The sequence below is a fragment of the Homo sapiens genome, chromosome X (assembly GCF_000001405.40).
Source record: "Homo sapiens chromosome X, GRCh38.p14 Primary Assembly".
Taxonomy (NCBI): Eukaryota; Metazoa; Chordata; class Mammalia; order Primates; family Hominidae; genus Homo; species Homo sapiens.
Window position 1 is genome coordinate 55,991,969 of NC_000023.11, and position 27,550 is coordinate 56,019,518.

Below are 27,550 nucleotides of genomic sequence, written 5' to 3' on the forward strand. Positions count from 1 at the left end.
AATTTGTTGAAGTTCCTTATAGATTCTGGATATTAGACCTTTTTGGATTCATAGTCTGCAAATATATTCTTCTGTTGTGTAGTTGGTCTGTTTACTCTCTTGATAATTTATTGTTCTTTGCAGAAGATGTTTAATTAATTAGGTCTCAATTATCCATTTCTGTTTTTGCTATAGATTTTGGAGTCTTCATCATGAAATATTTGTCATGGCCTATGTTCAGAATTATATTCCTAGGATTTTTCCTAGAGTTTTTATAGTTTTAGGTTTTGCATTTAAGTCTTTAATTCACATCGAGTTTATTTTTGTATGTGGGGAAAAGATAGGGTTCACTTCAAATATTCTGCATATGTCTAGCCAGTTATCCCAGTACCATTTATAGAATAGGAATTCATTTTTCCATTGCTTCTTGTTTTTGACTTTGTCAAGGTCAGATGACTGTAGGTATGTGGCTTTATTTCTGGGCTCTCTAACCTGTTCCATTCATCTATGAACCCGTTTTTGTGCCAGTACCATGCTGTTTTGGTTACTGTAGCCTTGTAATACCATTTAAGTCAGGTAGAGTGGTGCCTCTGGTTTTGTTCTGTATGCACAGGATTGGTTTGACTATTTGGGATACTTTTTTGTTCCATATGAATTATAGAATAGTTTTTTTCTGGTTCTGTAAAGAATGTCATTGGTAGTTTGATAGAAATAGCATTGAAATCAGAAATTGCTTTTTGGAATATGGCCATTTTAATAATACTGATTCTTTCTATCTATGATAATGGAATGTTTTTCCAGTTGTTTGTTTAATCTCTGAGTCCTTTGAGCAGTGTTTTGTAGTTCTCATTGTAGAGATCTTTCATCTTTCTGTTTAGCTGTATTCCTAGTTATTTTATTGTTTTTGTGGCTATTGTGAATAGGCTGGGGTTCTTGGTTTGGTTCTTAGCTTGGTCATTATTGGTGTATAGAAATGCTACTGATTTTTGTACATTCACTTTATACCTTGAAACTTTGCTGAAGTTGTTTGTAAGGTCTGTAAGCGTTTTGGCAGAGATTATGGTGTGTTCTAGGTATAGAATCACATCATCTGAGAAGAGAGGTAGTTTGCCTTCCTCTCTTCTTTTTTGGCTGCCTTTTGTTTCTTTCTCTTGACTGACTGCTCTGGTTAGCACTTTCAGTACTATGTTGAATAGGAGTTATGAGAGTTGGCATCCTTGTCTTGTTCTGGTTTTTTAGAAGAATGCTTTGAGCTTTGACCCATTCAGTATGATGTTGGCTGTGAGTTTTCCATAGATTGCTGTTATTATTTTGACGTGTGTTCCTTCAATGCTTAGTTTGTTGAGGGTTTCTAACGTAAAGGGATGTTGAATTGCATTGAAAGCATTTTCTATGTCTGTTGAGATGATCATGTGGTTTTTCTTTCAATTCTTTTTATGTGATGAATCACATTTATTGATTTGCATATGTTGAGCCAAACTTGCATTCCAGAAATAAAGGAGATCCACTTGATCATGGTGGATTAACTTTTTGTTGTGTTACTGGATGTGGACTGCTAGTATTTTGTTGAAAATTTTCGCATGTATGTTTATCAGGGATATTGGCCTGCAATTTTCTTACCTCATTGTGTCTGTGTGAAGTTTTGGTATCCCAATGATGCTGGCCTTATAAAATGTGGTAGGGAGGAGTCCTTCCTTCTCAATTTTGTGGAATAGTTTCTGATAGATTGGTATCAGCTTTTGTTTGCATGTGTAGTAAAATATGGCTGTGGATTCTTATGGTTCAGGGCTTTTTCTGGTTGGTAGTTTTTTGGTTTTGTTTTTGTTTTCTTCACTCATTCAATTTCAGAACTCATTCCTGGTCTGTTCTCTGTTTGGAATTCTTTCTGGTCAATCTTGGGAGGTAGTATATTCCCAGAAATTTACCCATTTCATCTACATTTTCTAGTTGGTGTTTATAGAGGTTTTTTTTTTTTTTTTTTTAGATGGAGTCTTGCTCTGTTGCCCAGGCTGGAGTGCAGTGGTGCGATCTCAGCTCACTGCAACCTCCGCCTCCCGGGTTCAAGAGATTCTCCTGCCTCAGTGTCCTGAGTAGCTGGGACTACAGGTGCATACCACCATGTCCGGCGAATTTTTTGTATTTTTAGTAGAGACAGGGTTTCACCGCGTTAGCCAGGGTGGTCTCAATCTCCTGGCCTCATGATCCACCTGCCTCAGCCTCCCAAAGTGCTGGGTTTACAGGCTTGAGGCACTGCACTCGGCTTATAGAGATGGTCTTAATAGACTTTTTTTTTTTCTTTTGTATTTCTGTAGCATTGGTGGTAATGTCTCCTTTGTCATTTCTGATAGTGTTTATTTGGATCTTCTTTTTTCTTTATCAGTCTAACTAGTGGTCTATCAATCTCACTTATTATTTCAAAAAAACAACTTTTCATTTTGTTGATTGTGTGTATGGCTTTCACGTCTAAATTTTGTTCAGTTTAGCTGTAATTTTTGTTATTTTTTTTTTTTTCCTGCTAGCTTTGGGGTTGATTTGGTCTTATTTTCTTAGTTCCTCTATTTGTGATGTTACTTTGTTGAGATTTTTCTAACTTTTGGATGGGGGTGTTTAGTGCTGTAAATTTTTCTCTCATCACTGCTTTAGCTGTGTCCCAGAGATTCTCATATGTTTTATCATTGGTTTCATTAGTTTCAAAGAATTCTTTGATTTCTGCCTTAATTTCATGTTTACCCAAAAGTCATTCAGGGGCATATTGTTTAATTTCAATGTAATTGTATGGTTTTTGAGAGATCTTGGTATTGATTTCTATGTTTAATATGCTGTGGTCTGAGAGTGTAGTTGGTATGATTTTGGGTTTTTGAATTTGTTGAGAATTGCTTTATGGCTGAGTGTGTGGTTAATTTTAGACTATGTACCATGCCTAGGTGAAAATAATGTATATTCTGCTGTTAGTCCAGTGTTCTGCTGAAGTCTGTTAGGTTCATTTGGACAAGTGTTGAGTTTATTTCCTGAATATCTTTGTTAGCTTTCTAGCTCAACAATCTGTCTAATACTGTTAATGGAGTCTCCCACTATTGTTGTGTTTACCCATGTCTCTTCATAGGTCTCCAAGAACTTGTTTTGTGCATCTGAGTGCTCCAATGTTGGGAGCATATATATTTAGGATAGTTAGGTCTTGTTGAATGGAACCCTTTACCTTTATGTAATGCCCTTTTTTGTCTTTTTTGATCCTTCTTGCTTTAAGGTCTGTTTTGTTTGAAATAAGAATAGCAATTTCTGCTTTTTGTATTGATAGATCTTCCTCATTCACTTTACTTTGAGTCTATGTGTGTCATTGCATGTTAGACGAGTTCCTTGATTATAGCATGCACTTGGGTCTTGCTTTATCCAGTCTGCTACTCTCTGCCTTTGAGTTGGAACATTTAACCCATTTACATTCAAAGTTAGTGTTGAAATGTGAAATTTGATCCTGTCTTCATGTTAGCTCATTCTCATGTAAACTTGATTGTATAGATGCTTTACAGTCTTATTGGTCTATGTACTTACATGTGTTTTTGTGGTGGCCAGTAATTGTCTATTGTTTCTGTGGTTAGCACTTCCTAATGGACCTCTTGTAAACTATGTCTAGTGGTCACAAATATCCTTATTATTTGCTTTTCTGAATGGAATTTTATTTCCCCTAATTTATGAAGCTTAGTTTGGCAGGATATGCAATTCTTAATTTGGATTTCCTTTCATTAAGAATGTCTAATATAGACCCCAATGTCTTCTGGCTTGTAGGATTTCTGCTGAAACTTCCACTGTTATTGTAAAAGGTTCCCTGTGAAGGTGACTTCTCTCTTCTCTCTAGCTGCCTTTAATATTTTTTTCTTTCTTGTTGACCTTGGAGAATCTGATGACTATGAGTCTTGATGATCCTGCATAGTATCTTGGAGGGTTTGTCTGAATTTCCTGAATTTGAATGTCTCCCTCTCTAGTAAGTTTCGGAAATTTTCACTGACAATATTCTTAAATATTTTTTGTAAGTTGCTTGCTCTTTCGGGGACACCAATGAGTCATAAGTTTGGTCTCTTTACATAATCCCATATTTCTTGGTGATTTGGTTCATACTTTTTAAAATTATTTTTTCTTTATTTTTGTCTTATTGAGTTGACTTGAAGAGCCTGTCTTCGAGGGCTGGGATTCTTTTCTCAGCTTGGTCTATTCTGCTGGTATTACTTCTGATTGTATTATGAAATTCTTGTAGGGAGTTTTTCAGCTCTCTCAGATCAATTTGATTCTTAAAGTGGCTATTCCATTTTTCAGCTCTTGTATTGTTTTACTGGATTTTTTAGATTCTTTTGGATTCAATTTTAACTTTCTCTTGAATCATGATAATCTTTGTTGCCATCCAAACTTTTAATCTTATGGTTGTCATTCCAGACATTTTAGTCTGGTTTAGAGCCATTGCTTAGGAGCTAGTGTGGTTGTTTGGAGGTAAACAAACACTGTCTTTTTGAGTCATCAGAATTCTTATGCTAGTTCTTTCTCATCTGTGTGGGATGATGTTCCTTTAATCTTTGAAGTTTATGTCCTTTAGATAGGGCTTTTTGCTTTTGCATTATTTGATGCCCTTGAGGGTTTGACTGTCGTATAAGTTGGATTTAGTTGACAGGCTTCGTTTCTGAATGATTTCTGGGGTCGAAGGATTAGCGCAGCATTCTTGGGCTGCATACTCTAATTCTGGGGGCTGGTACCAGGCCCACAGCTTTTTTCTCTGGCCCCTACAGGTTGAACACCTGCTCTGCTGGAGGAGCTGAGGTGTTCCTGGTTTGCTGGCAAGAGCACTCCAGTGGAGGGTGTCTGCAGAAGTTCTTTGTCAGGATAGTGGCAGCATGGTACTCACATCTGTTGGCAGCAGTGGCATGGCAGGGTCCGTGCATACATGCTTGTGATGGAGGTGGCAAGGGTGCACACACATGCGTGCTAGTGGGGCAGGGCAGTCATGGTGATGTTTGCGTACTCATGCCTGAGGCACTGGGATGGTGAGGTCTGTGTACATGCACTCACCCACAAAGCAGTGGGGGGAGGCTGTGAGCAGCTGTATGCTTGCAGGGACCCATCTGTGGAAGCTCTCTGATGGTTAGGCAGAGTCTGCTGGTAAAGGAGCTATGGTGGTTGCCTCTGGGAAGTGCCCCTGGTGCAGCCAGGCAGGGACCCTGGGGGAGGCTGATATACAGTAGGGGCACTCACATCACACCAGCTCTATCCCACTGGTGAGATAGCCCTGTTATGTCCAGGTCCAACAGTTAACAAAGGTGAAAGGCACCTAGAGAAGCATCATTAGCCAGTGCGGATGGGCATCTCTGGCCATGCTCCACTGCAGCCATTCCTGCACCAAACCCTCTGGGGTCTGTACTGACTGGAGTCCTGTTCCTGCTAACTCTTCAAGCAGCTCTCCCAGCCAGCTCAAATGTCTGTGGGGATCATGAAGTCTCCTGCAGCTAGGTTTCTGGATGTCTGTGCAAGAGTGTACTACTCCAATGCTCATTTAACTCATCCTTTCCCTAGGAGCCACTCAGGGCCAGTATGATTCCTGGTGCTTGACAACCATGTGTAGGATTCCCAGCTTTTTCTCCCTTCAGCCCAGGTTCTGTGTCCTCCCTCTGTCCACTCTCAATACCTTTCTTCTGAAGATCTGCTTGGAGTGTGCTGGTCTTCTTGTTGGTCTTATCTTTTGATGAGAGAAGCTCTTCTTGGCTGCATACAGTCAGCATTCTTGACTTTTCTTCCTTTTCGCTTTTGTTCTTGCTGATTCTTTTGAATTCCTTGCAGATTCTGGATGAAGGGGTGGGTTGCCCCTCCACACCTGTGGGTGTTTCTCATAAGGTGGAACAAGAGACTTGGAAAAGAAAAAGACACAGAGACAAAGTATAGAGAAAGAAATAAGGGGACCTGGGGAACCAGCGTTCAGCATATGGAGGATCCCGCCAGCCTCTGAGTCCCCTTAGTATTTATTGATCATTCGTGGGTGTTTCTCCGAGAGGGGGATGTGTCAGGGTCACAAGACAATAGTGGGGAGAGGGTCAGCAGACAAACACGTGAACAAAGGTCTTTGCATCATAGACAAGGTAAAGGATTAAGTGCTGTGCTTTTAGATATGCATAAACATAAACATCTCAATGCTTTACAAAGCAGTATTGCTGCCCACATGTCCCACCTCCAGCCCTAAGGCGGTTTTTCCCTATCTCAGTAGATGGAACGTACAATCGGGTTTTATACCGAGACATTCCATTGCCCAGGGACGGGCAGGAGACAGATGCCTTCCTCTTGTCTCAACTGCAAGAGGCATGCCTTCCTCTTATACTAATCCTCCTCAGCACAGACCCTTTACGGGTGTCGGGCTGGGGGACGGTCAGGTCTTTCCCTTCCCACGAGGCCATATTTCAGACTATTACATGGGGAGAAACCTTGGACAATACCTGTCTTTCCTAGGCAGAGGTCCCTGCGGCCTTCCGCAGTTTTTGTGTCCCTGGGTACTTGAGATTAGGGAGTGGTGATGACTCTTAAAGAGCGTGTTGCCTTCAAGCATCTGTTTAACAAAGCACATCTTGCACCGCCCTTAATCCATTTAACCCTGAGTTTGACACAGCACATGTTTCAGAGAGCATGGTGTTGGGGGTAAGGTCACAGAATCTCAAGGCAGAAGAGTTTTTCTTAGTACATAACAAAATGGAGTCTCCCATGTCTACTTCTTTCTACACAGACACAGTGACAATCTGATCTCTCTTGCTTTTCCCCACACTGGATATTAGTTCTTTGTTGAATGTATATTTTGTGAGTATTTTCTCTCATTCTGTATGTTGCCTACTTGGTCTTTTAATTTTTTTTTTTTTTTTTAGCAGAAGCTTTTTAGTTTAATTAGGTCGCATTTATTTTTTGTTTTTGTTGCAATTGCTTTTGGGGATTTAGCCAAAAACTTTTTGTCAAGGCTAATGTTGAGAAGGGCATTGTTTAGGTTTTCTTCTAGTATTTTTATAGTTTGAGATCTTACTTTTAAATCTTTAATTTATCTTGAGTTAATTTTTGTATATGGTGAGAGAGAGTGATCCAGTTTCGTACTTTGGCTTGTGGCTATTTAGTTTTCCCAGCACCATTTATTGACTAGGGTGTCCTTTCCCCAGCTTTTCTTTTTGTCTGCTTTATCAAAGAGCAGTTATTTGTGGGTATTTTGCTTTAATTTTGGGTTCTCTATCCTGTTCTATTGGTCTACGGGGGTATTTTATTTCACTACCATGCTTTTTTGGTTACTATAACCTCGTATTATAATTTGAAATCAGGTAGTTTGATGCCTCCAGATTTTTTTTTTTTGCTTCGTTTTGTTTTGACTATCTGGGCTCTTTTTTGGTTCCCTGTCAATTGTAGGATTTTTTCTAATTCTTTGAAAAATGACATTAGTGTTTGATAGAAATTATGTTGAATATGTAGATTGCTTTGGGCAGTATGGTCATTTTCATAATACTGATTCTTCCAATCTATGACCATGGATTGTATTTCCATTTGTTTGTGTCATCTATGTTTTCTTTTATCAGTGTTTTGTAGTTCTTCCAGTCGAGATATTTTACCTTCTTTGTTAAGTATATTTTTAGATATTTTATTTTTTTCAGCTGTTTTAATGTGTAGAAAGATGTAAAATAAGAACTGATTTCTTGATTTGATTATCAGCTTGGCCATTATTGGTATATAGCAGTGCTACTGAATTGTGCATATTGATTTTTATTACCTTTAATGAATTCATTTATCAAATTTAGGAGTCTTCTGGAGGAGTCTTTTGGGTTTTCAAGGTATAAGATCATATCATTGGCAAAAAAAGATAGTTCAACTTCTTCATTTCCTATTTGGATGCCTTTATTCTTTTGCCTGATTGCTCTGGCTAAAACTACCAGTACTAAGTTGAATAGAAATGTTCAAAGTGGGCTTCCTTGTCTTGTCCCAGTTCTGAAGGGGAATACTTTCAACTTTTCCATATTCGGTATAATGTTGTCTGTGGGTTTGTCATATATGACCTTTATGATTTGAGGTACATTCTTTCTATGTCTAGTTTATTGAAGATCCAAGTCATTAGGGGATGCTGGATTTTATCAGTTGCTTTTTCTGCATCTACTAGGATGATCATAGGCTTTTTGTTTTTAATCCTGTTTTTGTGGTTAATCACATTTATTGACTTCGATGTGTGGAAACATCCCTGCATCTATAGCATGAAACCCACTTAATCATGGTGAATTATTTTTTTAATGTGATACTGGATTTGGTTTGCTAGCATTCTGTTGAGGATTTTTGCAACTATCTTCATCAGGCATATTAGTCTGTAGTTTTTGTGTGTGTGTGTCCTTTCCTGGCTTGGTTTTAACGTGGTACTTGCTTCATAGTATGAGTCAGAGAGGATTCTCTCCTTGACCTTTTGGAATTGTTTCAGTAGAATTGGCACCAGTTCTTTGAACATCTGGTAGAATTCAGCTGTGGATACATCTGTTCCTGTGCTTTTTCTTGGGGGGGGGGGGAGGGATTTTTTTTTATTACTGATTCAATCTCATTACTTATTATTGGTCTATGCAAGATTTCTATGTCTCCCTGATTCAAGCTTGGGAGTTTGTATGTTTCCAGTAATTTCTCCATTTTCTTTAGATTTTCTAGCTTGTGTTCATAGATGTGTTCATAGTAGTGTCAGATGATCGGTTGTATTTCCCTGGTATTAGTTGTAATGTTTTTATTTTTATTTTTGATTATAATTATTTGAATATTCTCTTTTTTGTGAATCTAGCTAGTTGCATATAAATTTTGTTTATCTTTTCAAAGAAGCAACTATTCATTTTACTTTTTTTTTGTATTGTTCTATCTCAATTGACACCTTACTTTAAAAAAAGACATTGTTTCCTTTGCATGTATGTATCAGTCAGTTTCTTTGGTTGCAAGCCACTGAAACCAGCTCTGTCTCACTTAAGCAGATGAGGAATTTGTGAAAAGGGCAGAGTAATTGCTAGAATTGCTTGGAAGCTTAGTGAAACAGACAGAGTAAATAGGCAAGAACAAAGCACCACAGCCATATTTACACTAGAGGAGCCATCTGATATATGGGCCTTATTGTTGCTATCACTGATACTGGAATGCTGCAGTGGGCACTGATGCTATCTCTGGAAATGGCCACCGCTATTGGGATCATCGAAACTGCTGTGCTTAGAAATCAGGTGTTGTTGATTCCAACACCTGTACAATGTGTACTTTTTTCTTGTTGCTTCTCTGCATACTTTCTTCCAGAATCAAATGTCCAGGACATCACAATCATGTGATGAGCTGAGTTCAAATCATGTATTCATCATGCCTTAGCAGCCTAATGGTGGGAAAAAGAGAATATCTGCATCTGCACCCATTCTTTCCTTTTTCCATCTTGTTAATGATGGAGGACGAGGCCCTCTTTCTTTCTGTGGCCAATCCTTGGACTATGCTTTAGACCCTACTCACTGGTTCTTTCCTGGAAACTTTATTATTTCTCCCTTTTGCATCTTCAATTTCTCTATCTGTATGTAATGTTTTCTATCAGTAAACAAGCTATACTTTCTTCCATCTTAAAAATAAAATCAGTCTTCTTTCCCGTGGGTAAACAAGTAAATCTATATATTCTCCTCAACCAGATTTCTCAAAAGACTTATATGCATTCACTGGGTACATTGCCTCAGTTCCCACTTGCTCTTCAACCTCATAGTCATGCCTCAGCTCTTAACAACTCCACAAAAACTTCCCTTGTAAAAGTCATCAGTGGCTTCCTTGTCACTCAATGCTCACATGTCAGTACTTATTCTCTACATGAAATCTGATGAGATTCATCACTCTTTTCTTATTGAAACTCTAGTGGTTTCTTTACTAACCTCCTCAAATGCTCTCTTGCAACCCATTCTCACATAGTAGCCAGTGCAATCTTTTCAAATTAACTATCAGATCATTTCACCCTTTAAACAGAATCTTTTTAAAGATTCCCAGTGTTTTTAGAATGAAGTCCAGACTTTTTATGAAGGCCCGCCTACAAATAATCTGTATGATCAGGGACAAATTAGAAGGAAGGAGAGATGAAGTGATTTGAGAAAGCTAAAAATGAAGAATGTTTTCTCTTTCAATTATTCTTACCCTCCAACTTCATCTTCTATCACTCTCTCTTTCACTTGCTTTATTTCAGTCACAGTGATCCTCAAAGTAGTTGGATATTTTATATTCCTTTACGTATCAAAGCCTTTGCACTTACTGTTCTCTTGGCCTGGTATTCTCTTTGCTAACCCCTGCACACCTATTCTTTTTTTTGAATTTCTACACACTGTTTTAGTTTTTACTCAATAGATATTTACTTAGTGAAACATTTTTAAACCCCTCATTCACACTCATCACACTTTGTACTTCTCATTTGTAGCACACAGAAAATTGTAATTAATCAATTTGTGTGTATGTGTGTGTGTGTGTGTGTGTGTGTGTGTGTGTGTGTTTAAGTGTCTACCTTCCTCCAGTAGACTGTGAGCTTCATGAGAGCAGGGACCATTTTTTTCTTTCATTCATTGAAGTATCCAACATTGTTTCTAGCACATGATTGACACTCAGAAAATAGTAGTTGAATCGATGAATAGGTATTCTTAAGCACCTATGTTTTCTGCTACAGAATAGTCACTCAATGAATATTTGCTGAATGAATGGATGAGTGAATATATAGGTAAATGCTACATATGTGATGCTATAAGTTGCTATGCTAGTCATATAAACTGCATCTTAGCTCAATAAACAACCTCAATTGTTTCACTCCCATAGCTTTGAAGACTCCATATGGCTATCAGTCTAACTAAGCGAAGCTTTATTTTCAGGTATCTAATTGTCTTTTTTCGCTGAGCATACCAAAGAGAGTAACAAGTACAAAGTACTTGATGTTTAAAGGAATGCAGAATATCCAATGCTACAAAAGGAACAATGTATCTGGAATAAAATGAGTGAAGGGGATAGTGATACAAGGAGAAGTTGAAAAGGTAGGAATAATTGAAAAACCATTATTCACTTTTAGCTTTCACTAAAAATCACTTCATTCCTCCTTCCTTTCTTCCTCCTTCTCTGTCCCTGACTATGAAAGTCTTTTGTGAAAAGTCTGAACTTTGGCCGGGCACAGTGGCTCAGGCCTGTAATCCCAGCACTTTGCGAGGCCAAGGCAGGCAGATCACCTGAGGTCAGGAGTTCGAGACCAGCCTGAAAAATATGGTGAAACCCCGCCTCTACTAAAAATACAAAGAAAAACAAAAACAAAAACAAAAAACTGGGCATCGTGGTGTGATCCTATAGTCCCAGCTACTCGGGAGGCTGAGAGAGGAGAATTGCTTGAACCTGGGAGGCGGAGGTTGCAGTGAGCCGAAATCATGCCACTGCACCCCAGCCTGGGTGACAGAGCGAGACTCCGTAAAATAAATAAATAAATAAATAAATAAATAAATAAATAAATAAAAGTCTGAACTTTATTTCAAGATCATTGGGAAGCTTTTGAAGGATTTTGATCAAGAGTGCTTAGCCCAGTGGGATTGAAAAAAAAGAGAATGAACTTTCTCTGTTTATTGAGAGAACAGGAAAACATGTGAAACAACTAAAGGACAATTTAGGACTATATATGATAAACAATACAGTTGCATGGCAATGTAGTGTCATTGAAAAATTCCTGGGCAAGGTGATAAAATACCTCATTGATTTGCATCTATGGCTTATTTTCTTATCCTCTTCTTTTTACCGCTCTTCCTGGTGGCTGATTTTAACAACTGTTTAAAACAGATCTGTGTGTTTTCTTACTATTGTTTTGCTTATCATGGGCTTCTACTTCTTCTTAAAATCTGTTTTACCTCTTTTTCCTCTTCATCCTGTGTAGCCTGAAAATCATTTTCCGTGACACAAAGTGAGGAACAACGTATCTTATGTTATTCACCAACTTTGTACAATTGACCTTGTGTAGTTTTTCTATCCATTCTTTGCTTATCTTGCTCTGAATATAATAACCAAATCATGTCCTTTCTGTCACCCTTATTAATATTTTTGCAAGCCATGATGAATTATGGGCCTTATTCCTTACTTCCCCTTTAAACTGTAGCAGGAGTAGAAGCTCCAGTTTCTTTTCACAGTAAAAGGGAGAGGAAAATATCTGGAACAGAAATGAAGGAAGGAAGAGTATAGGAAGATTTGTAGAAAAGAAAGGGATATTTACCACATAGTTTTTGTGAAGGTCAAATGAGTCAATACATGTCAAGTGTTTGAAATTAAGCCTTGCACACGGTACCTGTTCAACAGATGTTGACTGTTATTATTTGAATGGTAATGATGGTAATGGTTTTATCAGTCAGGGTTCCAGAAGAAAACAGATGCCATTGAGTAATTGGGGGAGAGTTTAATACTGGAACTACCCACAAAGTTGTGAGCAAAGAATAAGAAAACCACAAAGAATAGTGTATTACCCTAGGTATAATAATGACAGGTGCTTTTAGTACCCCTAGGCTGAAGAGGTACAAGTAGGAAATAATTTCTGGAACTTTATATGAGTATCTATAGCTATTAGAGAGAGCCACTGGACAGAAGCTGTGATCTTTGGTTGAAGGAAACAGCCAGCTCACAGTGACTGTAGGGTGGAAGCTTGGAGAAAAAAATAATTCAATCATGCCCTCTTTCCTCATTTCGAAGTCTTGCGGGTAATTCTTATTGCCCAAACCCCAAACAAAAGCCAGAGAAGAGGGGAGCCCATTAATGAAATACATATAAACTAGGCTTCAGGGACACAAAGCAGAGTGGAGAAGTTTGAAGAGTGAATCTGGAGGACAAAATAGAAGATAACAGCATAATCATGAGGTTAGGTATTGAAGACAAGTTGCAAAGCATTTGTGGTATGACTGACAACTCGCTTGTCAGCATACCTGGAGATTTCCGTGGGAATATATGTAAGCTAGTCCACAAATAAAAGCCACCCACTTTGCTCCAGGGTTAAATTAATGACTGCTAGCCCAGAATGATGCCTTAATGGGAGCTTCCCTATACCTTTATCCTTTATGATTATTATTATTATTATTATTATTATTATTTGAGATGGAGTCTTGGTCTGTCGCCCAGGCTGGAATGCAGTGGTGCGGTCTTGGCTCACTGCAACCTCTGCCTCCCAGGTTCAAGCAATTCTCCTGCCTCAGCCTCCAGAGTAGCTGGGATTACAGGTGGTGGGATTACAGGGGGGTGGTGTCAGCCCCCCAGCTTTGTTCTCTAGCCCCTCAAGATTAGCAATCTTCTGCACTGTAGGCACCAATATGTCCCCAATTATTGGTTACAGTGCTTTGTCGGGATGGTGGCAGTGGGATTTATACTCATTTGTATGTGCCAGGAGCAGTGGCTGTGCAGCAGGGTGCACATTGCATTAGCTGGGGTGGCATACCAGTGAGAGCAAGGCTGCTGCAGTTAAGTGCATGCTGTAGCCAACAGTGTTGGTGAGGGCATAGCACTGGTGGGTGTGGGGTTGCTGGTCTCCATGTGCATGATTGCAGCAGCAATATTGGCAGCACAGGGGGTGGGGTGGGGTTTTCAGCCTTCATGCACATGTTCGCATCAGCATCAGTGGCTGCATGGGTCAGGCTTGGTTGCAAATGTTTGTGTGCATGTGTGCACCAGCAATGGCAGCACAACTGGGTTCACGGAGTGTGCTCACACCTGCAGGATAGGCATGGCAGGGTGTGTGCATGCAGAGGAGAGGAGGTGAGGTCCATCTGCATGTGCACACACTGGCAGAGAAGTTGGTGGGTGGCTGTGGGTGATAGCATGCTGGCAGAGCGGTGCAGGTGAGGCTGCAGTGGTGGAGAGGATGCAGGTAGGCTGGTGTGTGGTGGTGGAGGACACTCTGGTGGAGCTCTGCAGTGGTCAGTTATGGTCTGCCAGTTAAGGAGCTATAATGAGGACCCTTTGGAAGCACCCTGATTGGGCATCCGAGGCTGCACTGCAGGCAGGCGTGGCCAGGCTTAGACCCTGGCGGAGGCCAACAGACAGGGGCATTCAGGTTACACTGGCCCCATCTTACACACAAGGCTGTCCTGCTCTCTCCAGGTTCAACAGTCCCCTTAAGGCTAAAGTCTCCTAGAGGAATATAGCAACCTTTGGGACTTACACATCCCTGGCCATGCTCCACTGCAGGCATTTCCACACCAGACCCTCTGGAATCTCCACAGCCTGGAGTCCTGCTCCTACTATCTGTCTAAGTCGCTGTGCTGCCAGCTGAAGTGTCTGTAGTGGTTGTGAGGTCTCCTGCTGCCAGGATTCCAGAGGTCCATGGTGAAAGTAGGTTGCTCCTCACCTGTTTAACTCACCCCTTCCCCAGGAGTTGCTGCAATCCAGGAACAAGTCCCAGTGCATGGTAGCTCTGTACATGGTTTCTATCATCTTCCCCCTTCATCCTAGCATCTTTGTCCTTGCTACATCCATTCTCAAGGCTTCACTCTGAAGATCTGCTCAGAGTGTACCAATCTTTCTGATGTCTGTTTCTTGATGGCAGATGTACTTCCTGGCTGCATCTAGTCTCCTATCTTGAATCCAGAATCTCACTGTGGTTTTGATTTGCAATTCTGTAATGATTATTGGTGTTGAGAATTTTTTATATGTCTGTTGGACATTTGTGAGTCTTCTTTTGAAGAATGTTTATTCGGATTATTTGCCCACTTTTAAATGGGATTATTTGTATTTTTGCTCTTGAGTTTTTTTGGTATCTTAGTATATTCCAGATATTAGTCACTTGTTGGATTCATAGTTTGCAAATATTTTCTTCCATTCTACAGGTTGTCTCTTCAGTCTGTTGACTGTGGCAGGTTGACAGGGCCTGTTGTTAGGCTTTCCTATTGTGCACATGTGTACCAGTGTCAACAGGCAGGCTGGGTCGTTTCCCAGGCCCCCGGATAGCAGATAGTGTGCTTGGGTGTCAGTGTCAGTGGGCAGGGTGGGCCTGTTCTCAGGCCCCTCACTGTGCCTGGGCAAGCTGGTCCCAGGATTCATGAATGTACATGTAGACAAATGGCTTCCTTGCTGCTAGTGGTCAGTGGGGATGCCATCAGTGGCAGCAGCCCTAGGCAAGTGGCTCTCAGGATCTGGTTACTGCATATTTTAGCTCCATATGTCCCAGAGGCAGCCTATCCAGTGCACTGCTAGAGTTCTGAGTATCTGGCTGCATTTATGGGTCCAGCCAGTGTCATAATGTTGCATTCCTCTGAGTGGGCATGAGAGGATGTCTGCAGGGCTTTTGGGATGTAGAGATGCAGGGTCTGTTGGGTCCCAGAGCAGGATGTAGTCTGGTGGGAGTCGTACTCTCAAAATGGCGCTGTGAAGCAGCTGCTTGGGTCCCAGAGTTGTATGTGGAACCCAGCACACACTCCTCTGGAATAATGCCAGGGTGTAGGCTTTAGGTAACTCCCTATACTCAGGGCCTGCAACAGCTGAGGGCTTCTCCATGGCTAGGATTACAGGAGTCTGTGGTGGGAACCTGAACCACTGGGGATCTCTTGCTTGCTTTTCTTCCACACTGGGGAGTTCTTTTTGACTCTGCACTACTTTGCGTCCCTCTCCTTCCATGCCTTAGAGGTTTCCTGTCACTGCTTTGCTAAATTCCAGTGTTCTCTCTTAAACTCTGTCTTTGACATGTGATTATCTACTTGCTGTTTTTGTACTTCTCCGTGGATGAGTTGGGTGCTGGGTGCCTGTAGTAAACCATCTTTGAAAAAAACGTTTTCAAATACATAAAGTACAATGCATTAGACTAAAAAAGGGACCCATTTTATGGAAATATACTTACCAAATCATTTTAAAGTTTGTGATAGAATAATGTGATTCTTAGCTAAGGGATGCTGGGCTTAATACCTAGGTGATGGGATGATTTGTTCAGCAAACCACCATGGCAAATGTTTACCTGTGTAACAAACCTGAAGATGTACCCCTGAACTTAAAAGTTGAAGAAAAAAAATGTGATTTTTTTATTAAGTTCATTCAATAGGAAGATATTTCAGTGAGCCTAGTAGTTACTATAATCTAAAATTACTAATGAGCATAAGCAATATTTTGAGATTACTCTAATAACTAATATGTTATGCAAATAACTGGAATTTTATTAGTGCAAAGCTATATATATATATATATATACACACACAAATACAATTAATTGTAACATTTTGCCTACATGCATAATTAAAAGAAATGCTAAATTTCAATTAGTGAAAATAAAAATGGGGGGAGGTGGCCAAGATGGCCCTCTAGAAACAGCTTTGGTAGGAGGCTCCCACTGAGAAGAATGAAAACAGCAAGTGAATTCTGCACCAGCAACTGAAGTATCCAGGTTCTCTTGCTGGGACTGACGAGGCAGTTAGCATGACCCATGGAGAATAAGGAAAAGCAGGGTGGACTGATGGCCCACCCGGGAGCCACGTGGGGCAAGGGGAACTCCCACCCGCAACGAAGGGAGGCAGTGAGCAATTGTTCTATCCCACATGGGAAACCACATTTTTCCTTCCACGGATTTGTGCAACCCACAGATCAGGAGATCCCCTCATGAGCCCATGTCACCAGGGCCTTGTGTCCCAAGCAGACATCTGTACAGATTATCAGTGGCCACTTGGCTGGGGACTGCCTGACTACTGAGTTCCCATGAGGAGAGGTGACGGCCATCACTGCAATTGCCTGCTGCCTGAGATGACTGAGCTCCTGGGGTGAAGGGCAGCACCCTCACTGCAGCTCCAGTCTGCCATTTTTTCCTGCTGGTGCCAGGGAGACTGGGCAGTTTGGAACCAGGAGGAATTCTCCACAGCACAGCACAGTGGCTGTGGCAGATCGTGGCCAGACTGCCTCTTTAGGCCAGACTCTGATCCGTCCTAACTCACTGGGCTGGTTCTCCCTGCAGAAACTTCAGCAACTCCAGCCAGGGTTTTGCAGACAGAAGTCTGATCTCTCTGGGACAGAGGCCCTAGAAGGAGTGGCAGCCATGGATGCCATGGATTAGTCGACTGAGTCTTTCCTCCTGCTGGCTCTGAAGAATCTAGGCAGTACGGAGAAGCAACATTACCCCCAGCACCAAGGGGCAACCAGAGGGCTTATTTAAGCTGGTCCCTGATCCCATGCCTCCCCAACTAGGCCACTCTAGGTGGTCCCCTAGATCACCCCAAAAGGGGTCTCTAGGCATCTTATACAGGAGTGTTCCTGCTGGTATCCTGTCAGTGCCAGTCTGGGACGGAGCTCCCAGAGGAAGGAGCAGGCAGCCATCTTTTCTGTTCCTCAGCCTCCACTGATGACACCTCCAGGTGTGGGAGGAACCCAGGTGAATAGGTTCTGGAGTGGACCCCTAGCAAACTTCAGCAGGCCTGTGGAAGAGAGGCCTGACTGTTAAAAGAAAAACAAAGAAACAGAAAGCAACAACAACATCATCAACAAAAAAAAAAGTCCTCACAAAAACCTCATCCAAAGGTCAGCAGCCTCAAAGATGAAAGCTAAATATAAACTCATGAAGATGAGAAAGAATTAATGAAGAAACACTGAAAACCAAAAAAGCCAGAGTGACTTTTCTCCTCCAAATGATCACAACACCACTCCAGCATGGACACAGAACTGGTTAGAGGCTGTAATGGATGAATTGACAGAAGTAGGCTTCAGAAGGTGAGTGATAATGAATTTTGCTGAACTAAAAAAGCATGTTTTAACCCAATGCCAAGAATCAAAGAAACATGAAAAAAATTACAGGAGCTGTTAACCAGAATAACCAGTTTAGAGAAGAACATAAATGACCTGATGGAACTGGAAAACACAGCACAGAAACTTCACAATGCAACCACAAATATCAATAACCAACTAGTCCAACCAGAGGAAAGAATTTCAGATTTTGAAGACTATCTTGCTGAAATAAAACAGGCAGACAAGATTGGAGTAAAAATAATGAAAAGGAATGAACAAAACTTACCAGAACTATTGAATTATGTAAAAAAACCAAACCTATGACTGATTGGGGTACCTGAAAGAGATGGAGAGAATGGAGCCAAGTTGGAAAACATACTTTAGAATATTATCCAGGAGAACTTCCTCAACCTAGCAAGACAGGCCAACATTCAAATTCAGGAAACACGGAGAACCTCAGTAAGATATTCCATGAGAAGATCAACCCCAAGACACATAATCATCAGATTCTCCAAGGCTGAAATGAACGAAAAAAATGTTAAGGGCAGCCAGAGAGAAAGGCCAGGTCACCTACAAATGGAAGCCCATCAGATTAAAGGCAGACCTGTCAGCAGAAGCCCTACAAGCCAGAAGAGATTGGGGGCCAATACTCAACATTCTTAAATAAAAGAATTTTCAACCCAAAATTTCATATTCAGTCAAACTAAGCTTCATCAGCAAAGGAGAATTAAAATCCTTTTCAGACAAGCAAATGCTGAGGGAATTTGTCAGCTCTAAGCCTGCCTTGCAACAGCTCCTGAAGAAAGCACTAAATATGGAAAGGAAAAGCCATTACCAGCCACTACAAAAACACAATGAAATACAATGACCAGTGACACTGTGAAGCAACTACATCAACAAGTCTGCAAAATAACCAGCTAGCATCATGATGACCAGATCAAATTCACACATAACAATATTAACCTTTAATGGAAATTGGCAAAATCCCCCAAGTAAAAGGCACAGAATGGGAAGGTGGATAAAGAGTCAAGACCCATGGTGTGCTGAATTCAAGAGACCCATCTCACTTGCAAAGACATGCATAGGCTCAAAATAAAGGGATGGAGGAAAATTTACCAAGTAAATGAAAAGCAGATAGAAGCAATCTGTTGCAATCTTAGTTTATGACCAAACAGACTTTAAACAACAACAACAACAACAAAATCAAGAAAGAGAAAGAAGGGCATTACATAATGGTAAAGGGATCAATTCAACAAGAAGAGCTAATTATCCTAAATATATGTGTATCCAACACAGGAGCACAGATTCATGAAAGAAATTCTTGGAGACCTATAAAGAGACTTGGACTCCCACACAATAATACTGGGAGAGTTTTACATGCCACTGACAATATTAGACAGATCATTGAGTCAGAAAATTAACAATGATATTCAGGACTTGAACTTAGCTCTGGATCAAGTGGACCTGATGGATATCTACAGAACTCTCTACCCAAAAACAACAGAGTATGCATTGTTTTTAGTGCCACATGGCACTGACTCTAAAATTGATCACATAATTGGAAGTAAAACACTCCTCCACAAATACACAAGAACTAAAATCTTAACAAACAGTCTCTCAGACCACAGGACAATCAAATTAGCACTCAAGATTGAGTAATTCACTCAAAACCACACAACTACTTGGAAATTGAACAACCTGCTCCTGAATGCCTCCTGGGTAAATAATGAAATTAAGGTAGAAAAGAAGAAGTTCTTTGAAACCGATATGAACAAAGAATGTACTAGAATCTCTGGATGCAGCAATGTTGAGGGAAATTTATAACACTGAATGCCCACATCAAACAGCTAGAAAGAGCTCAACTTATCAAACTAACATCTCAACTAAAAGAACTAGAGAAGCAACAGCAAACAAATCCCAAAGCTAGCAGAATACAAGAAATAACTAAGATCTGAGTGGAACTGAAGGAAATAGAGACATGAAAAACCCTTGAAAAAAATTCAATGAATCCAGGAGCAGTTTCTTGAAAAAATTTAAGAAATAGACCACTAGTTAGACTAATAAAGAAGAAAAGAAAGAAGAATGAAATAGACACAATAAAAAATGATAAATGTGATATCACTACTGATCCCACAGAAATACAAACGACCATCAGAGAGTACTATAAACACCTGAATGCAAATAAACTAGAGAATCTAGAAAAAATTGATAAATTCCTGGACACATACACCCTCCAAAGACTAAAACAGGAAGAAGTTGAATCCCTGAATAGACCAATAACAAGTTCTGAAATTCAGACCGTAATAATCTATCAACCAAAAAAAATCCCAGGACCAGACGGATTTACAGCTGAATTCTACCAGAGGTACAAAGAGGAGCTGGTACCGTTTCTTCTGAAATTATCTGAAAGAATTGAAAAGGAGTGACCCCTCCCTAACTCATTTAATGAGGCCAGCATCATCCTGATACCAAAACCTAGCAGATATACAACAAAAAACAAAAACTTCAAGCCAACATTCCTGCTGAATATTGATGCCAAAATTTTCAGTAAACTTTCAATAAAATACTGGCAAACCAATTCCAGCAGCACATCAAAAAGCCTACCCACCACAATCAAGTTTGCTTCATTCCCAGGATGCAAGGCCGATTCAACCCATGCAAATCAATAAACAGAGCTGAAGACAAAAACACATGATTAACTCAACAGACGCAGAAAGGGCCTTTGATAAAATTCAACATCCCTTCATATTAAAAATTCTCAGTAAAGTAAATATTGATGGAAGATACCTCAAAATAATAAGAACCATTTATGACAAACCCACAGACAATACCATACTTAATGAACAATAGCTGGAAGCATTCCCTTTGAAAACCAGCACAAGACAAGGATGCACTCTCTCAACACTTTTATTCAATGTAGTATTGGAAGTTCTGGCCAGAGAAATCAGGCAATAGAAAGAAATGAAGGTATTGAAATTGGAAGAGGAGAAGTCAAACTGTCTCTATTTGCAGGTGATGTGATCCTATATCTTGAAAACCCCATCATCTCAGCCCAAAAGCTTCTTAACCTGATAAGCAACTTCAGTAACATTGGAAAAATCAATATCATGAAAATGGCCATACTGCCCAAAGTAATTTATAGATTCAGTGCTATTCCCATTTAACTACTATTGTCATTTTTCACAGAATTAGAAAAAAAAACTATTCTAAAATTTATATGGAACCAAAAAAGAGCCCAAATAGCCAAGACAATCCTAAGCAAAAAGAACAAAGCTGGAGGCATCATGCTACCTGATTTCAAACTATACTATAAGGCCACACTAACCAAAACAGCATGGTACTGGTACAAAAACATAGACCAATGGAACAGAGTAGAGAACCCAGAAATAAGACCACCCATCTACAACCATCTGATCTGCAACAAACCTAACAAAAACAAGCAATGGGGAAAGGATTCCTGCCCAAGGCAATGAGAGCCTACCTCTTGCATCAGCAAGACCTGGATGTGAGACATGAAGTCGAAAGAGATTATTTTGGAACTTTAAGGTTTAATGACTGCCCTATTGGATTTCAGACTTGGATGGGGCCTGTAGCCCCTTCGTTTTGGCCAATTTCTTCCACTTGGAATTGGTGTATTTACTCAATGCCTGTAGCCCCATTGTATCTAGAAAGTAACTAACTTGCTTTCAGTTTTACAGGCTCATAGGTGGAAGGGACTTGCCTTATCTCAGATGAGACTTTGGACTTGGAATTTTGGGTTAATGCTGGAATGAGTAAGACCTTGATACTGTTGGAAATACATGGTTGTGTTTTGAAATGTGAGGACATGAGATTTGGGAGGGTCCAAGGGTGGAATGATATGGCTTGGTTTTGTCCCTACCAAAATCTCATCTCATTGAATTGTGGTTTCCATAATCCCCATGTGTCTTGGGAGGGACCAGGTGGAGATAATTGAATCATGGGGGTGATTTCCTTCTTCTTTTTTTCGTTATGATAGTGAGTTAGTGCTCATGAGATCTGATGGTTTTCTAACGGGCTTCCCCCTCACTAGGCAGTCGTTCTTCTGCTGCCACCATGTGAAGAATGACATGTTTGCTTCTCCTTCTGCCATGATTATAAGTTTCCTGAGGCCTCCCCAGCTATGCTGAACTGAGTCAATTCAACCCTTTTCTTTTATGAATTACCCAGTCTTGGGTATGCCTTTATTAGTAGCATGAGAACAGACTAATACTATTCCCTATTTAATAAATGGTGCTGGAAGAACTGGCTAGCCATATGCAGAAAACTGAAACTGGACCCCTTTCTTACACTTTATATAATAACTAACTCAAAATGGATGAAACACTTAAATGTAAAACCTGAAACTATAAAAATCCTAAAAGAAAATCTAGGCGATACCATTCAGGACATAGGCACGGGCAAAGATTTTATGACAAAAACATCAAAAGCAATTGCAAAAAAAGCAAAAATTTACAAATGGGATTCTGTTAAACTAAAGAGCTTCTGCACAGCAAAAGAAACTATCATCAGAGTAAACAGACAGTCTACAGAATGGGAGAAACTTTTTGCAACCTATCCATCTGACAAATGTCTAATATCCAAAATCTACAAGAAACAAACAAATTTATAAGAAAACAACCCTGTTAAAAAGTGGGCAAAGGACATGAACAGACACTTCTCAAAAGAACACATACATGTGGCCAACAAACATATGGAAACAAGCTCAACATCACTGATCATTAGAGAAATGCAAATCAAAACCACAATGAGATACCAACTCACACCAGTCAGAATGGCAATTATTAAAAAGTCAAGAAACAACAGATGATGGCAAGACTGCGGAGAAGAAGGAATGTTTTTACACTGTTGGTGGGAATGTAAATTAGTTCAACTTTTGTGGAAGACAGTGTGGCTATTCCTCAAAGACCTAGAACCAGAAATATCATTTGACCCAGCAGTCCCATTACTGTGTATATACCCATAGGAATATAAATTGTTCTATTATAAAGATACATGCACGCATATGTGCATTGCAGCACTATTCACAATATCAAAGACATGCAATCAACACACACGCCCATCAGTGATAGACTGGTTAAAGAAAATGTGGTACATGTACACCATAGAATACTATGTAGCCATAAAAAGCAACAAGATCATGTTTTTTTTTTTTTTTTTTTTTTTGCAGAGATGTGGTTGGAGCTGGAAGCTGTTATCCTCAGCAAACTAATGCAGGAGGAGAAAACCAAATACTGCAAGTTCTCACTTATAAGTGGGAACTGAATGATGAGAACATTTGGACATGGTAAGGGGAGGACAACATGCAGTGGGGCCTGTTGGGGAGTATGGCAGGAGGGAAAGCATCAGGAAATTCACTAATAGATGCTGGGCTTAATAACTTGATGATGGGATGATCTGTGCAGCAAACCACCATGGCACATGTTTACTAATGTAACAAACCTGCACATTCAGCACATGTACCCCTGAACTTAAAATAAAGCAAAATAAAAATAAAAATATAATTTTTCCCCATTCAACATCATGGACTTCCTGAAGTTCTCTAGACCTTGGATTAAGAAGACATATCTACAGTACGTCAGATTTGATGTGTCACAAAATACATACATCTTTTGCCTGAATCACTCTCTAAGGTTGCTGTACTAGCTTTCATTCCCATCAGCAGTATTGGAAAATCTGTATTATCTCACACACTCACCAACCATTTATATTGTTTTCCAACTTGATGGGTTAAAATAACATCGCATTTTTGTTATAATGTGAATTTCCTTGGTAACTAATGAGGCTGAACATCTTTTCATCTGTTTGTTGGCAATTTTGGCTTTCTGATTCTGTGAATTGCCTTTGTACATTTTCTATTAGGTCACTGGTGGTTTTCCAATAGGAAAATGACATAATCTCTGCCTTGCTCAATACATAGGTCTCTTGTAGCTCTAGCACTTTCTGACCTGATTCTAGCATTTTGCTAAAAGTCTAGGTGAGTGGGTTCAAGCAAGGTAAAAACCATACAGACTGCAGTGGAGGAAGGGTAGAATACCACCAGGGAAAAGAGTTAAGAGGTTGTTTTAATAGTTAACTAGTGTACAAAAGGGCAGAATCAATGGTGGTGTAGAGAAGGAGACTAACATAAGAGACCCCACAGGATTTTGTTTGCGGGAAAGGGAAAAAATTAGAAGCCAAAATGGAAGCCGCAGAAATATTTTGGGAACAGTGGACAATTTTGTCTTCTCAGTCTCTATTCCTTTTAAATAAGTAAACTCTTAAATAGCATTTTCTTTCCCAGACCATATGTGTGTATGTGTGTACATATGTGTATGTGTTTGTGTGTACAAAGTAACTAACAAACAATAAGCTCTAATTGTGAATGCTTTTTTGGAGCATTTGCTTCTAGAGATTCATACAGTTTCAGCCCAATTTTAGCATGCTATTGAACCTGGGTTTTGGAACTTGGGTTCACATCTTAGCTCAAGCAGTGACAACTGTGTGACCTTGGGCAAATCATTTAGCCTCAATATAATGCTGGCACAACGCTAGCTTCTACACAGAAGTATTGTGAGGTAAATATAAGGTAATGTATGTGAAGTATATAATATAGTGCCTGGCACAGAGTGAGTATTCAGCACATTTGTTGAGTAGATCAATCAAAATTGAGATTCCCAATGCTGAAGCCCTAGAAGCTGTCATAGTAGTTTGCATTAATTTGTTTTCCTTCCATTTTAATTGTGATTTTAAATGTAATAACTCCTGGTGATAGACATAGTAATTCTTAGTTAACTAGACTGTAAGATTGATAAGAATCTGCCATTCATTTCCTATACCAAATGAAAACTTACTGGAAACAATAACAATTCACATTTATTAGACAATATAATCATGCACTCTTAGAAGTACTTCACGTTAAATAAGCCATGAATCTCCACTGTAACATTATAAGAACTATTATTATCCCCATCTTATAGATGGGAAACTAAGGCATAAAGCAGTTATTTAACTTATCCAAGGTCAAACAACTACTGTGGTTCCTGAGTCTACATTTTAACTACTATAGTCAAAGAGGAGGAGTGACCTGCCTAGTGCCACACAATATGTTAATATTAGACTAGGATTCAAATTAGATTTTTCTATTCCTTCTGCTGCACATAGAGACATTTGGATTGTCAAATCCATTTTACTATGTTACTACATTTACCTTATAAGTTTATTTTTTATAGTTTTTATACAAATATATTTTAAGTGAAATACCATGTGGATATGTTATAAAGTAAACTTTTTATAATAAAGCCACATTTTTATATGTCCAGTAGTTCACTGGAGAGGTTAGTGGTGGATTGAGGGAGGTGCTATATATCTATATTTAACATTTGATTTTAAAATAAGAGAGGTTGTTTCTATTATAGAAAATACTACAGAGGCTGGTCTAGAAATCTGTTTCCTGCTCCCAACCTTGGTCAAAGTCTAACCTGAAGGGAATAGTAGCAGGATCTATATGTTTTTATTTGTTATTAATTTTTCCCTGTAACGCAGAAGCTGACTGAAGAGCTAGTATTAGGGACCTGGCAAACTTGTAGGCATGCCATTGCTGTAGCAGTTGGTATGTATGCTGAGAGGGTGGCCTAAGAGAAGTAAGGTAGGCTTCCAAGCACAATGGCAGCCAGCCTAGAACATGGCCTCCTTGCTTGCCTGGTCAGAGGCTCCTGACCAATGCTGAAAGCATTCTTTCTGCCCTGGAGGAGGCAGAGGGCACAGTCACCCTTTCAGACAAAACCAGAAGCAGTTTGTAGGAAAGAGAAAATAGTAGAACGGGGAAGCGCAATGGAGGAAGATGCAGTTGGTCTGAGACTGACACTAATGTTCACTGTAGGGTATGGAAAAGATTGCTCTGCCATGAAAAGTGAGCAAGTATTCCCCCAGTGCACTGGATGTAGTGATAATGGTAGTGTATGTTTGCTAGTGGGTGTGTGATTTTTTGAGGGGTAGTACTGATTGTGTCATAATCTTAAGTGGAATGGATATTTCCCTTCAGTTGTATATGATAACCTTTTATTTAGTTCTCTTTTTAGTTAAAGATAAAAGAAGGATTTTTGTAAAAAACGATGGACATAAAGCCAAATGAAGAAAAATTGCATTCATTTTGGATCAAGACTGTTTTACCTCTTCTCCCAATATATCTGACCCTACTCCCAAATAGCATTTGAAGTGTTTTATTTATTTTTATTAATTTTAAATTCTTAAATTTTTATGGATACATAGTAGTTGTACATATCTATAGGGTACATGTAATACCAACATACAATGTGTAATGATCAAATATGGGTAATTGGGATATCCATCATCTCAAGCACTTATCATTTATTTGTGTTGAGAGCATTCCAGATCTCTTCTAGCTGTTTTGAAATGTACAATAAATTATTGTTAACTATAGTGGCCCTATTGTGTTATCAAACACTAGGACTTATTTCTTCTATCTAACTGTATCTTTGTACCTGTTAACCAGCTCCTCTTCATTCTCCTATCCCCATTACCCTTCGCAGCCTCTGGCAATCACCATTACAAACTCTCTGCCTCCATGAAATCAGTTGTGTAGCTTCCACATAAAAGTGAGAACATGCATTTGTCTCTCGGTGCCTTACTTATTTCACTTAACATAGTTTTCTCCTAATTTTTATTAACTTTAATTCCCACATTATTAACTATAAATAAAAATATACTACTCAGAAGAAAAAAGAAACCTATCTTTGACATAGCTCTGAATGAAAGTCATAATAAAGACTTTAGAGTTTTTTCTATTTATGTGTATGAATGTGTATTGGGTGGAAAGAAGAATGAAACTAGTCATAGCAGCTGAATTATGCCCTTTGGGCAAAGTTTGGTTTTCATAGAAACAAGTATGGCCTAACTCTCTGAGGGAAAAATACACACACACACATCAATATGTTTTATTATATAATACATGTTAATTTACACACATATACATATTATTATATAATATATGCTAATTTGCTATACTATATGTATATATATATTCAGTTAAACCATAAAAAATTGCCATTTTTGTAGGTAAAAATTGTTAAATATTAGCAATTCTATATGGTTACACTGGGCATTTGTTTGTATGTGTGTGTGTGTGGTTTAAAACAAATGAGAGAGTAAGAGATTGACAGGAAGAAGGAGAGGGATGTGTGTGTTTGGTGTGTGTATGTCATGATAAAACTTTCAAGCTGTAGGAATCTGGCTATATTTAGACAGGATCTCAGAAAAGTGACTAGGACATTCTTTTCAACATATTTTTAAGGAATGAACTTCCACCTTCTTTAGTAGAGCTCTTTGATCATCTCAGGGATTTTAGGCTCTGACAGCCTTTACTTTCCAGATGTTTTGGTCATTTGTTTGGGTGGAATCCCCATACTGCTGTTTAAGTCTGTTCAATCTGCTTTGAATTCTGTATAGAAGGAGAAAGGAAAGAACTCATCAGCATTATAAAAAAAATAGTAACAGCCAGTTGTATATGATAGTCTCCTGACTACAAAGGAAAAGTTAGTATTGGATTTCACAAATATGACCAGATCTTCTCAGATAGTCATTTGATATAAAAACCAGCCCCCTGGAGATTGTTATATGTTATTAAGCCACTCTTTAGACTTCTCTTGGAGAATGGATCTTTACTAAACTATGGCTGCTGTTTTAGAATCTTCCTTTCAGAGAGTGCTGAGAATACCTAGGAATAAAATGCACTTCTTTCCCAGAAAATTTTTCGTTGACTGTCTATTTTAAAGGTTATTGGATTATCTTCATTAACATTCAGTTGATGTATTGAGCACTTGCTCTATGCAGCAAACTCTGCAAA

At 39.3% G+C, this 27,550-nt stretch overlaps 1 protein-coding gene across 2 annotated transcripts in view; it reads left to right on the top strand.

Annotated features, from left to right (window-relative positions):
- The window catches only part of KLF8 (KLF transcription factor 8), a 383,409-nt gene that overhangs the window by 83,846 nt on the left and 272,013 nt on the right, over window positions 1–27,550 (top strand). The window contains exon 2 of one of the 2 annotated variants that reach the window (NM_001324104.1): window positions 22,877–22,993. The exons of the other annotated variant lie outside the window; for it this stretch is intronic. Within the exon in view, the coding sequence (NP_001311033.1) occupies window positions 22,972–22,993 (22 nt within the window). The 5' untranslated portion in view covers window positions 22,877–22,971. The remainder of the gene's footprint in view (window positions 1–22,876; window positions 22,994–27,550) is intronic. 2 annotated transcript variants of the gene reach the window in all.